The sequence below is a fragment of the Homo sapiens genome, chromosome 2, assembly GCF_000001405.40.
Source record: "Homo sapiens chromosome 2, GRCh38.p14 Primary Assembly".
Lineage (NCBI taxonomy): Eukaryota > Metazoa > Chordata > Mammalia > Primates > Hominidae > Homo > Homo sapiens.
The window spans coordinates 19,975,941-19,989,897 of NC_000002.12; the positions used below are offsets into that span (position 1 = coordinate 19,975,941).

Below are 13,957 nucleotides of genomic sequence, written 5' to 3' on the forward strand. Positions count from 1 at the left end.
AAAAGCACCCAAAAAACAAATTCCTCATTCCCATCTTCAACAATTCAGAACATAACTGAGTCCATGCTTACACTTTCTGCGTTGCCCACTAATACAAAAGAAGAGGTATTTCCCCAGTCAGTCCCCTATCCAAGGCTAATTCCTCTATGTATTCTCTGATCTAATCCCTTCCTACCTTTGCAAAGATCTCCCTTTATCGACTACTCTCATTTTCTCTTTCTCATTAAACTCTTCACTCCAGGGCCTTTCTTATGTGGATTTAAACACATGCAGATCTATTTCTCTTTGAAACCATCACCCTAAATAAAATAAACACTTTTATTAACCCCAAGTTCCCCCTCTAACTACTATTTCTACCATTCCTTTCCCAACCAAACTTCATGAAAGAGTTCTTCACACCTATAGTCTCCACTTCAACTGCCACTCAACCCTTAACCCCTCCCAATCTGGCTTCTGCCCCACAACTCCATTGAAACTGCCTACAACATACACTATTTGGGTTATGGTTATATACTAATAGTCCAGACCTCACCAATATTCAATATATCCATATAACAAACCTGCACTTGTACCCTCTAAATCTATAAAAATAATAAATAAAAAAAGAAGAAACCAAACCTGTTGACATCTTGATCTTGGACTTCTAGAGTCTAGAACTCTGAGAAAATAAATTTCTGTTGTTTAAAAAAAAGAAAGAAACTGCCTTCATGGACGTCACTGATGGCCTGTTGCTAAAGCCAATTGATACTTTTTTTTTTTTTTTTTTACCACTCCCTCCTTCTTGAACTCTCTTGGCTGCCATTAGCCCATATACTCCTTTATCTCTAAGACTCTTATATTTCTCGACATCCTTCTTCTGCCTATCCCTTAAATGTTGCTGATTTTTTTTTTTTTCCTGAGACAGGGTCTCACTCTTTTGCCCAGGCTAGAGTGTAGTGGTAAGATGATGGCTCACTGCAGCCTCAACCTCTCAGGCTCAAGCAATCCTCCCACTTTGGCCTCCCAGGTGATTGGGACTACAGGAGTATGCCACCACGCCCAGATAATTTGTTTTGTTTTTTTTTTATTTTTAGCACAGACAAGGTCTTGCTATGTTGTCCAGGCTGGTCTCAAACTCCTGAGCTCAAGCAATCCTCCCGCCTTGGCTTCCCAAAGTGCTGGGACTGCAGGCATAAGCCACTGTCCCCAGCCTAAATGTTGCTGATTCTTAACTCTACAAATGCCTCTTAGTTTTGTTCAACTATTTCAATGGTTTAAATTACCATGCATATGCTGGTGGTTCCCAAAATTTTGTGTTCAGCACAGACATTTTTGAGCTGCAGATATGTATGTCTAACTATGGTCTGGATAGATTTACTTGAATGGCCTATGGCATGACAAAATCAACATATCCAACAGAGGAATTTTCCCTTAAAATCAATCTTTCTCCACACTATTTTAATGAAAGGCATTACCATCCATCCAGCTGCCCAAGCTAAAACTCTGGATACTGCCCTGGGGACTTCCATCCTCTCATCCCCAATCCTATCTATTCTGCCTCCTGAGTATGTATAAAATCTACTTACTTCCATTCCCTTGTCATTACCTGGATGGCTACCATCCACCATAATCTCTCACCTGAATTGCCAGAGCAGTTTCCTGATACAGCTGCCCATTATCTTTCCTTCCTTTCTCTATTCTTCATATGTAGCACAGAGATGTTTCTAAAGAACAATCTTATCACATTGCTCCCATTCTTAAAACTTTTCATTGGCCTCCCAAGTGCTGTTGGACTTAAGTCCAAACACCTTAATATAACTTATGATCTGCATGATCTGGCCTCTGTTTCTCTCTCTAGATTCACTGCATACTACTCTTCACTGTTAGTATTATACCCTACTGATAATCAACTTTTTTCAATGGCCCAAACATAGCTAAGTGCAACTCCTCTGGACCTCCTCAAATACTACTTCTTAGGGCAGAGACATTCTACACACCAACCTACCTTGTGGCTAATGCCTCAGCATCAGCATCACTTCCTCCAGGAAGCCTTTCCTGATCCCTCCAAGTCTGCATTAGGTGGCACTTCTACATGCTCCTGTATTTTCCCCATCTTAGCGCTTATCACAGGATACTGTAATTTCTCAGTTACTCATCCATCTCTCCTGATCTAGGTCTGGTCATTGCTGTACCCTTAGTTCCTAAAATGATAGCTGTTGCTTTATAGGCTCTCAGAAACATTTGTTGACTACATGAAGTTACACACACACACACAGACACACACACACACACACACACACAGAGCGAGCGAGAGAGAGAAATAAAAATGATTTTAAAATAAATTATTTATCTACAGAGTTTCAAATTAAAACAAAGGTGCAGACTCTCAGAAGACCCAGTTTTATCTATTACTAGAATTTGAAAAATACAGGTTTTTAAGGCTATAAACTACAACCAACAATGACATATTCAGTTCCAATAAAAACGACCACAGACTTTTTGAAACTAAAGTCTATATATTTGTACAGACTAACCAATATAAAAAGAAATTACATAATGAGGCAGACATGTTTAAAATAATGCTGAAAAGTTAATTCAATTTTTTCAATGCCACTGTAGGAAATAAAAAAATTTCCTTGAATATACATAAAAACAGATGGTTAAAATCAAAGAACGGTTCTTGAATGTCGTCAAATTGTATATCAAATAGTTTCCCTTTTATGTCTATTTTTCAATCAGAATGCTAACATATGGTAACTAACTTAAATCTCTAAAGAAGAAAACTGTCAGCCAGATATTGATCTTAGTTCTATGTCCAATCAATACATTACCATCCACTGAACCAACTATCACAGCCCCATCTTCATATACAATGCAGATCTTCTGTCCGTCAGCATTCCAGCTCATACTGCGAACAACTGATTTATTTCGATTGTTGATCATCTCCTCAATCCAAGAGCCTGTTTTCACAAATTTAAAAAATTACAAGTCAAAACTTTCACATCTATTAAATAGTAGTTAAGAATTGAAAGCATTCCATAAAGTACGCCATGGGACAAATAACTGCAAAGTTTTCTACAACCTGAGACATTAAACTATAAAACTTCCAAATCCAACAAAAACAAAATGAAAAATTAACTTGGGCTTAACTGATAACTGCTTCAAAGATTATCACAGAAAACATAATAAATGCCCATCCTTTGTTTCTTCTTTCTTTCTTTCCCTCTCTCTTTCTTTCTGTCAATTAAAAATTAAACTTCATTTGCTTTTTCAGAGCTAAAACTACTGATTTTTCTGAAAGCCTAACTTTTCCCACTTGAACAATATGGTTCAGATCATAACCAATTAAAAAAACTCCAAGTAACAATAACTTTATACATATGCACATAAACTCTCCAATGAATAATTACAAGCATATTAAATGCAGCATATTAGTTACCATCACAAAGAGAATGAAGGCAAAAAAATACACAGCATATTAGGTAAAACCCTAAGCCTGCTTGAAAAAATTCTAATCAGTTTATACTACATTAGTGACACGACATCTCTAATGCCGAATGACAAAAATATTCTAGTTGTATGCAGGGTAGGAATGAGATGTAACTTGTCTTTTAGCATAACCAAACTAGAAGCAAAAAAATAGGCTATTTTGTTTTTGCTTTTCTCAAAGGCTTTTTGACATACCAACATGGGCAACTCTGGCCTGCAGCCAAGCAAATAATCATGTAATTTGGAATAACTGCCCAGAGCAGGATAACAGAATCGAGACTGAGACCCAGAGAAGACCTGAAGACCTACCTTGGAAACAGACAAAGTTTACTCCAGTCCACTGAACTTTCACATTCTATCCCCTACACACACACACACACACACACACACACACACACTTTTTAAAAAATTAAAGTATTATAGCATATCTTTAATGAAGACTTTTTAAATGGTATGCCCTGCCATTTAAAACAGCACACATGAACTTTTCAAAACAGCACACATGAACTAAGGCACCCTTCCCTTTTGAAGATGATAACTACAGGCCTCAGGAGAACATGTATTATGAGCTGCTTTTCTGGTAAAAGTGGATTATCTAAGTTAATCCTTCTTTTACTCACCCTCTCTCATAGACAAACTGTGAACCAGTAGTCAGAGTTGAGATAAAATCTGTATCCATAAAAGAAAAGGAAACTAACTGGCCCATGCAGGAAGTGAATTATTCCCTTTGACTTCTTACTAAATGTGTTTTTATCTACTGAGATAACTCTAGCCACTCATTTATTCATTCATTCAACAAATATTTATTGAACATGTACACTGTGCTATGTATTATAAAAGGTTCTACGTATAAAATGAACAAACAGTCATTTCCCCTTTCCCCTCAGAGCTTACAGTCTACTGAGGAACCAATATTAAATACACACTCACACACACATGAATGTAATTATAAACTGGAACTACCTAGAAGTAATTCTTATTGGAAATCTGGAAAAAAAAAAAGACTTATCTCAAGTAGAAGCTATTCTTCTGCTAAGAGTCTAAGTTCATTTTGGAGATGGCCAACAGTCACCTAATTCACTTTCTTAATAACAGGGTTAAAGTTTTAAAAAAGTGAAAAGTAGGCAGCAATAAATCCAGAAATATTATCACTGTGCAGTCAGGATGAACTCCTGTTGTTAGTAAAAGGGGTCTATTTTGGAGATGTTATTTACCCATCCAAATACTGTGATCCAGATGCCAACTTGTGAAAAATTAAATAATCTCTCCTAGTAAAGTATACCTTTATATAACATCCACACAATGATAAGCCCGTTTTCATCACTGGTAGTCAACTTCTGATACTGCTCATTCCATGTTACAACTTGAACAGAACCTAGAACATTATAAAACAATTTAGAAACTTAAAGGTTACAATTAATTTCAAATTCACATTTTTATATAAACACCAAGATCATGTTAAAATCAATATGGTTCCTGTACAGCTAACTAGTCTTTAATATTCCTCAAAACCTATTCATAAGATGCAGTTATTGATATCACTAATTTTCTACAACAATGCATAATACTATTTTTCATATCTATCCCTATTTCATCCCAGTAAAGACACCAATCATGGCTAGCTACCAGAACTACCATATACCTGATGACAGAAACAAATACAAGCATGGTTTACTCAATTGGCCTGACTCCCAAAAATAATGATGTTCAAAGGACACCATAACAAGTACTTGTTTAGGGGACTTTTATCATTTTTGGTAGATATGTCCTATAATCTCTCTTCTGCCCACCTCTCACTCGTTTTCCATTCTATTAGTAAAACACTCTTGAGCATATCTTAAACCTCTAGGGTACGTGAATAATTGATGACTTTTAATTTTTTAATCCCTAAATACTTTAGTGTACATTTCCTAAAAATAAAGACATTCTCTTCCATAATCATATTACAAATTAGGAAGTTTAACACTGATATACTATTATCTAACTCACAGTCCATATACAAATTTTACCAATTGTCCAAATAATGTCCTTTATAGACACTTGTTCTTCTCATTCCAAGATCCAATCTAGGATTATACAGTGCATTTAGTTGTTATACATCTTCAGTCTTTAGTCTTTTTTTTTCTTGAGACAGGATCTTGCACTGTCACCAAGGCTGGAATGCAGTGGCACAATCATGGCTCACTGCAGCCTCCAACTCATGAGCTCAAGCGATCCTCCCACCTCAGCCTCCTGAGTACTGGGGACTACGGGCACACAGCACCACGCCTGGTTAATTTTTTTTATTTTTTGTAGAAACAGGGTCTCATTATGTTGCCCAGGGTGGTTCCAAAATCCCAGCCTCATGCAGTCTTCCCACCTTGGCCTCCCAAAGTGCTTGAACTATAGGTGTTAGCCACTACACCCAGTCTCTTCAGTCTCCTTTAATCTGGAATCATAGGACAGATTCTAAAAAGGATTATATATACAACATCCATAGACAGGAGTATTTTCAATATATTAAAAACAGCTATTTTCTTCTAGATTTATTTAAGATGTTGTTTAATCATGTAAAAGTTGAATGACTCTAAGTTGTATTACTTATGTCTCAACAGAAATGATTACAAACAGCTCCCAACTTACAATGGTACTACTTAAATGACTTTTCGGTGATGGGAATGCAATGCACATTCAGTAGAAACCGTACTTCGAGTGCCCATACAACCATTCTGTTTTTCACTTTTAGTACAGAAATCAATAAGTTACATAAGATATTCAACATTTTAGTATAAAATAGGCTTTATGTCAGATGATTGTGCCCAACTGTAGGCTAGTGTTTTCTGGGCATATTTAAGGTAAGCTAGGCAGAGCTACGATGTTCAGTAGGTTAGGTGTATTAAATGCATTTTCAACTTACAATGGGTTTATTGGAACATATCCCCATCGTAACTCAAAGAGCATCTGTACTGTAAATATTACCATTATTTAAAATGTTGACATTTCTGCATTAAGTAGAAACTTTCTAAATGCCTAAATACCACTCAAACATGACTTAAAAGAAATTGAATGACTCACCACTATGACCTTCAAGAGTCTGATTCATAGAAAGGTTACTGGGGGCTGCAAGGCCCCTCAATTTTGCATCATCTAAAACAAAACAAAACAAACTACTATGATAAATATGTAAAAGTGACATATTATAAGATTTTGACTCTTTTTGTATTCCTGGGCAGTATTAATCATTTTTCTAAGTATGCCCCATTCTGATATATTTTTCTCATGGTATAAACATGAACAATAACACATACCCCTTGCAAAGATATTCTGGTAAAATAAAGCAAAATATATAAATGAAGATTGTTTACTCATACATTACATATATTAATAATCATCACTGCTTTTTATTCCTTTCCAAAAGACCACAAATAGAAATATTTATGGCCTACAGATTGAAAACTCTACAGCTTACAAGGGATCAAAAGAGCATAGACTTTGAAAATGGGTTTTTACTAGATTACACAGAATCTTATATTCACTCATTTATTCATTCATTTAACAAATATTTATGAAATGTGTACACTGTGCTATGCATTACAAAAGGTTCTACATATAAAATGGTGAACAAAACAGTCATTTCCCCTTTCTTCTCAGAGCTTTCAGTCTAAGGGACCAATATTAAATATATACTCACATACACATAAATGTAACTATAAACTGGGAATGTGAAAGCATAATAAGAAAGAGTAGCAGAAGTGACTTAATTTAGATTGATGGGGAACCAGGGAAGGCTATCAGAAGAACTGATATTTAAGCTGAGACTGAGAGGTAAACTGGAGATAGCCAGGAAAGGTAGAGAAAGAAGGGGAGTATTCCAGGCTAGGACACAGCAACATAAAGGCTCTGAGGTAGACAACTAGAGCCCTTGACAAACTCTAAGAAGGCCTATGTGGATGAACAGGGGAGAAAATTGCATCAAACAAGGCTGGAGTGATAGGCACAAGAAAAACTATGAAGTATTTGTAGAAAATGATAAGAATTTTAGATTTTATCCAAAGTGCAATGAAAACCTCTAAAGACGTCTTAAAAATTTACTAACCATCCTACAGAGAATATTAAAATGTCATCTCAATAAATTAATCTTGGCTTAGAAATCTGTTACACATAAAACATAGCATTTAAAATTTTCATTTAAAATACAAATGTTATGAAGATCTTAAGAATTTGTGAGAATGGGAATTATACCAATGCTAAAGAAAATTCTACTTTCAGATAACAAGTATCTTAAAATATTATGAAAAATATCCTTTATTCTGAAAACATTGTCAGGAAAAGATACCTAATTTCCTCTAAATCACTAGTTCTAATTACCCAGTTGTTTTGGTAACACAAGAGTACACATGTACAGTTTAACAATGCAATCATCTGTCAATTAAGATAGAATAAATGTTGCTGACACACACATTAGGCTGAACATAATTTTTTTTAACACAGGGTTCTTTCATTCATTTAATCTTTTAAAAATTGTACAACATACTTAAACTTTATTATAATATTCTAAAATATTTGGTGGAAACATTTTTCTTAACTTCTAGCACTGAAAAATCCATTCTAATGCATATATATATATATATATATATATATATATATATATATACATATATACACACACCCACATATTCTGATGTCACTATAACCTAAGTGAAATGGGTCATATGAGATTTAGATTGACCACCCATGTTTGCCCTCTGTTAGACCATAAGGTAGCATACTCTTGACAAAACACATGCTGACAGTTAAGAACAGGCTTTGAAATTCAGCTTGATATATTGAACAAATATCATCCACATCTGAAAACGTCTCTTGCTGGAAGCAACTCCGTAACTTGATCATGTAAAAAATATTCATAAAACCCACCTGAAAGTTCTCAGATGTCCATAAAAAGGCCAAAAGTTTTAAATGATGTAGAGTAAAGCCAGCGATAATATCCCAAGATTCCATTCAGTTACATTACTAGACTCCAGATAGCCAATAAGGTAATGAAACCAAACTGGTATGTGAACAAAAATCTGGTAATACTGACATAAATCTTCTAAAAGCACATAACAGTAATCCTTGGATTTAAAAGGCATAATCGAAGAAGTCACCAATAAAATAAAGCATTTTAAACTCATGTAAAGGAATTTCAGAATGAAATCAGTTATTCCAACAATCCGAAGTACATCAAAAAGTCCAAAGAAGGCTTTTAAAAAATTAAGGTGTAATAAAGCAACTGAAAACAAAAGGTATGACATAGAAGAACAGAAGATCATGCTAATAACACCAATAACCAAGCACACTAAATCTTTGAGAATCTTTCTCTTAGAAAAGCGTGACTGCCAATGCTTTTGTTTGCATTCATAAAAGTTGTCAGCAGCCCAATTTCAACAGAAATTCCTGTTACATGCTGCAAAATAAGCTTGAAACCTAGAATCAAAATATACAGAAGACTGTTTTGCAACACATAAGGATAATACAATTCTGAGAAAGAGATGGTACCATATTCGCCAGATTCTCTGGCAGGATCATCTGGTTGCCTTGCTTCTCTGTGTGAATGACTGACTGCAAAGGACTCTGTATGCATCCCTGGGTCTAGCTAAGGACACCTTACCTGAGATTTCTGGTCAATTTTGTTGTCCTGGGCATATTGGAAGGTTGAGGCAATGTCACTGCCTGCAGGTACCGGAGGACTGCGCAGTCAGCTGCAGTTGGCTTCCATGGCCCTATATACTTTTTCTCTGATGCAAATGTTGGCTTCCAGGGCTCTCTATTTCCTCTCATGAGGATGAGGGTGGAGGCCTTGGCAGTCGTAGCAGAAAAAGCAAGAAATGCCACCTCAATCCTAGTCAGGGCCATCATCCTCAAACCCTACCACAAGCAGCTCCAACCCAGGGCCATCATCCTCAAACCCTACCACCAGCAACTCCAACCCAGGACCGTCATCCTCAAACCCTACCACAAGCAGCTCCAACCCAGGACCATCATCCTCAAACCCTACCACAAGCAGCTCCAACCCAGGACCATCATCCTCAAACCCTACCACAAGCAGCTCCAACCCAGGACCATCATCCTCAAACCCTACCACAAGCAGCTCCAACCCAGGCTGTCAGCCCTTTAAATACCTTTTGGCAAGGAAATGACATCATCTGGTCCCTTTAAAAAAAAAAAAAAAAAAAAGGGCCGGGCGCAGTGGCTCACGCCTGTAACCCCAGCATTTTGGGAGGCCCAGGCGGGCGAGTCACTTGAAGTCAGGAGATCACGACCATCCTGGCTAACACGGTGAAACCCCGTCTCTACTAAAAAAAAAAAAAAAAATACAAAAAATTAGCTGGGCGTGGTGGCACGCACCTGTAATCCCAGCTACTCAGGAGGCTGAGGCAGGAGAATTGCTTGAACCCGGGAAGTGGAAGTTGCAGTGAGCCAAGACTGCACCACTGCACTCCAGCCTGGGCAACAGAGTGAGACCCCATCTCGGGAAAAAAAAAAAAAAAAAAAAAAAAAAGCCTGACACTGGCTAGAGTGTCAAGAACGACTAAGAGGAAGCCAGAGACAATGGAAGGAGGGAAACTGATTCTCACAATAGACCAGGTGAGGGATGATGGTAGCTGGAGCTATAGAGGGAGCAGGGGAGACAAAGGAAAGGATGGGTTCAACATACACTTTGGAGACAAAAGCAACAGGATTGCTGATGCAGATGTTGTTAACGGAGGAAAAGAGAAGATTTCCAGCTTGAGCAAATGAGTGAAATGGAGATATTTGCTGAAATGGAGAGAATTGAAAGAGATTTGGAAGAATATCAAGAGTTCGGTTTTGAACACAGTAAATAGGAGATACCTGTGAAAGACTCCAGTGGAGACACCCACGTCTGAAAAATCAGGACTGGGCTGGAGATATAAATGTGGGGCTCTTCACCTCATACCACAGATGGCATTTAAGGGCATGAGAATGAAAGAATAAATAGAGCAAGTGAATAGAGAGCCCAGAAGCAAGTTCTCAGGAATTCTAATAGAAGAGGGAAATCTAGCAAAGAGACTGAGGACTGACCAGAGAAGGAGAGAAAAGTAGTACGTCTAAATATAACAATAACTTAAACATTCTGAATTCTCTTGTCTGGAAAAATAATGTTTCAAGTCAAATCCTGATGAGTCAATAAAAGCTGTCCATTAGATTTAGAACATGAAAGTCACTGGTGAGGGAGAGAAAAGGAGAGAGGACTGATATTGAAAGGAGAGAGAGAGGATAAATTGGCAGAAAGGTACCTGAGAAGGTGAAGGGAGATGGGCTCCAGCAAAACACTGGAAGCTGGCCTGTGAGAGAAGTAAACCTGATGTAAAAAGATGGATTGCTGGTTCTAATTCCTTTCCTTCTAGAGCAGGGAACTGAAAACTGGAAATGCAATGTGGTGCAAACTTTCTGGAGGGTAATTTGTGTACACATATTAGGAACTTGTATAAATGTACACACTCTTCGATCCAGTGAATGCCATTTCTAGAGATTTATCGTAGAAAGTATTAACTATTTATGCAAAGATTTGGATACAAAGATACAGTTGCTTTAATAGTAAAAATGTGGAGACACCTAAATGTCCAATACTAAAATTGGTTAAGCAAATTATGATATATTAATACCAATATAATGAAATACTAAATAGACATTAACAATGGTGCCATAGAAGATGATTTATGGACGTAGAGGATTGCTGTATTATGTTGCTGTACCCAAACTACAACACATTATACTTCACATGTTGCATCTTTAGCACAACACAGTGCTTCATAGAAAGCAGGCATGCAATATCTATGATTGTTACTGGACGGATCTGCTGAATCAACACTAGTTGTATTAAATATAATATACTGATCTTGTTAGACTCTCACAGCCATATTCCTCATATTTATTTCTTTCAGCACAATTCATAATCATTCAGTTCCAAAACAAATACTTTACTCCATTTTCCAAACCTCCCAAGAATTGATTTCCCATCTTGTTCACTAATTTCAAAGAATACTCCAGTCACAGCTCATCAAAAGGGCAGAGCAGAAAAAGAAGTTTGTTTTTAAAAAAGCCTTCAATGTTAAACAAAATGAATGCACTTCTTAATGTAATTTAAAACTTGCAGGCCAGGCACGGTGGCTCACACCTGTAATCCCAGCACTTAGGGAGGCCGAGGTGGGTAGATCACGAGGTCAGGAGATCAAGACCATCCTGGCTAACACGGTGAAACCCTGTCTCTACTAAAAATACAAAAAAATTAGCCAGGCATGGTGGTGGGCACCTGTAGTCCCAGCTACTTGGGAGGCTGAGGTAGGAGAATGGCATGAACCCAGGAGGCGGAGCTTGCAATGAGCCGAGATCCAGCCACTGCACTCCAGCCTGGGCAACAGAGCGAAACTCTGTCTCAAAAAAAAAAAAAAAAAAAAAAACTTGCCAAATATTGTAAGCAAAAGTATGTATATACAGACACACATATATATATATACACACGTATATATATATCTATATACACATTTAAGAAACAGAGAAAAACTTTCTTTTAACACAGTTTTAAAAAACTAAAGCACTGACAGATTGAACTATAAAACAGCATAAGCCAAACTTTAATTGGTACTCTTCTTTACTTAGGCTGTCCACTAGCCCTTTGTGTAGTGGTTAAAAACAAGGACTTGAATGTGAGACAAACTTAGTTTCACATCCTTGTTCCGCCACTTACTGGCTGCGTGACCTAGGGCAGTTAACAGCTCAGAGCCTCAATTTTCTCACCTAGAATACCTACTGCCCAAGATTATTGTGAAGTCAAATAAGATTGTGAAGGTTAAACATCCACTACATGGAAAATCGTCAATAAGTATTTATTATTCATACCGCATTCAAAGTTGTAAGGTAATGCTATTCAAAGTGCGGTCTGAGGACCAGCAACTCAGCTTCACTAGAAATGGAAATTCTCAGGCCCCATCCCGGGTCTATTGTGTGGGGGTAGAGCATGAAATCCATCTTAACAACCTCTTCCAGTGATTCTTATACCTAATACAGTTTGAGAAGCTATGTTGTAAGGAATCCAAAAATGTAATGCAGTTTAACCCCCTACATTTTCATTTTATGGAAGACTAAACTAAAGTAGTAAGATCCTCAGCTAACTTGTTGAAAGTCATTCAGTAGTCTTGTGGAAGAGCTGAGATTTAACTCCAATTACCTTATCTAGGTCTTCAATCTAGGGGGGCTAAGAAGTGGGAAGCTGTTTGCTGTGATTCCAGAGAACTAGATAAAGAAAGAAATCAAGCAGCAAAGACAAGAGACCTACTAATAGAAATGTAAAACGTATCCCATTTTCTGTTCTTGGACACTAGGTGAATAACCATTAATGCATCTGATAAGCAGAAAGGATGACACAGACCTGTAAACAATCTGCCAGATTTTCTTAGTGAAATGTTGACTCACAGGATTTCTTTTAGACTCCTAATAATATAGTACAATAATTAGACATAGCATAACACAGTGACTTATTTTCATTCTTCATTATTTTTCATTTTCCATTAATAACTCAGCAAAAACCATCCGATGTTTACATTCAACATTCTCTGAACTTTATTGCAAATATACTCCAGAAAAACACCATAAAATGTTTTGGTAGTTTTCCCTTTAAAATAATCAGAACTGCATATTGACAGATAACATGAGTAGACCGCACTGAACAAATAACATTAGCCAATTTACTACCAAACATGTGGGCTTGCATTCATTTACCTGTCTGCGTCTCTAATTTCAAAACTTTCAGTAATCCATCTTCACCACCGCATGCTATGAACCCTTGTTCCTTGTTCCAGGATACACACTGCAGCTTCACGTTATTGGGAATGGAAATCTGAAAAAGCAACCACAGCCGCACTAGCAACTTTTCACGAAGGAGCTGGGAAGTAAGTCTGCAGGAGATGAAAGCTGAAGAAAATCTTCCAAGAAGAAAAACGAACGGCCTTGCAGAAAAAAAATGAGCTGTTGTGAAAATGGGCATGGTCCCCTGAACTGACCCGGGCTCTAGCATTTGGGAAAGAGGGAAAGAAGTGCACAAAAGAGAAGGATAGTGACTGCGGAGGAAGCCAACGCCAGAGTCTCACCGGATGGATTTTTTAAAGGGAGGACGGGGAGAGGGTATAAATCCATACCACCAGTCCCTCTTCCTTTTTACCTACAACTTAGGCTATCCTATTGTTATTTCTTTTCTCTTGCCCAATGGCTCGTGGTGATCCAAAGAGTTTAAATCACGTGGATCAGCAACAAGTGGAGGAGGAAACATAGGGTAGCACGTGGCGACTTATCCTCAAGCCACCCAAAAGGACCTAGCCAGGGGCAGGAATGGGAGAGTGCTGCGAGAGGGCAGCAAGCTCGGCCAAAGACTGAGGCTCTGGGAACCGCAGGAAGAGGTCGGAGGCTGGACCCGGCGGGAAGGATGGCTGCGGAATGGCGAAGCCACGACCAGGAC

General features: G+C 37.6%; 1 protein-coding gene and 1 pseudogene across 5 annotated transcripts in view, besides 1 other annotated feature; both read right to left on the reverse strand.

The window, feature by feature from the left end:
• Positions 1–13,957, reverse strand: part of WDR35 (WD repeat domain 35) — a 79,843-nt gene that overhangs the window by 65,678 nt on the left and 208 nt on the right. For all 5 annotated transcript variants that reach the window (XR_426989.4, XR_939699.4, NM_020779.4 and 2 more), the window contains exons 2-5: positions 13,225–13,342; positions 6,523–6,594; positions 4,751–4,843; positions 2,811–2,939 (exon numbers count right to left, since the gene is read on the reverse strand). Coding sequence is in view for 3 of the 5 variants with exons in the window: in NM_020779.4 (NP_065830.2) it covers positions 2,811–2,939; positions 4,751–4,843; positions 6,523–6,594; positions 13,225–13,342 (412 nt within the window). In the remaining 2 variants the exon portion in view is untranslated. The remainder of the gene's footprint in view (positions 1–2,810; positions 2,940–4,750; positions 4,844–6,522; positions 6,595–13,224; positions 13,343–13,957) is intronic.
• Positions 8,181–9,106, reverse strand: RNFT1P1 (ring finger protein, transmembrane 1 pseudogene 1; annotated as a pseudogene).
• Positions 13,896–13,945: an enhancer, noted in NCBI's record as "active region_15371". NCBI's record gives its function as "activates an Ori minimal core promoter by ATAC-STARR-seq in GM12878 lymphoblastoid cells {active_cell/tissue: GM12878}" and the evidence as "EXISTENCE:reporter gene assay evidence [ECO:0000049][PMID:35858748]".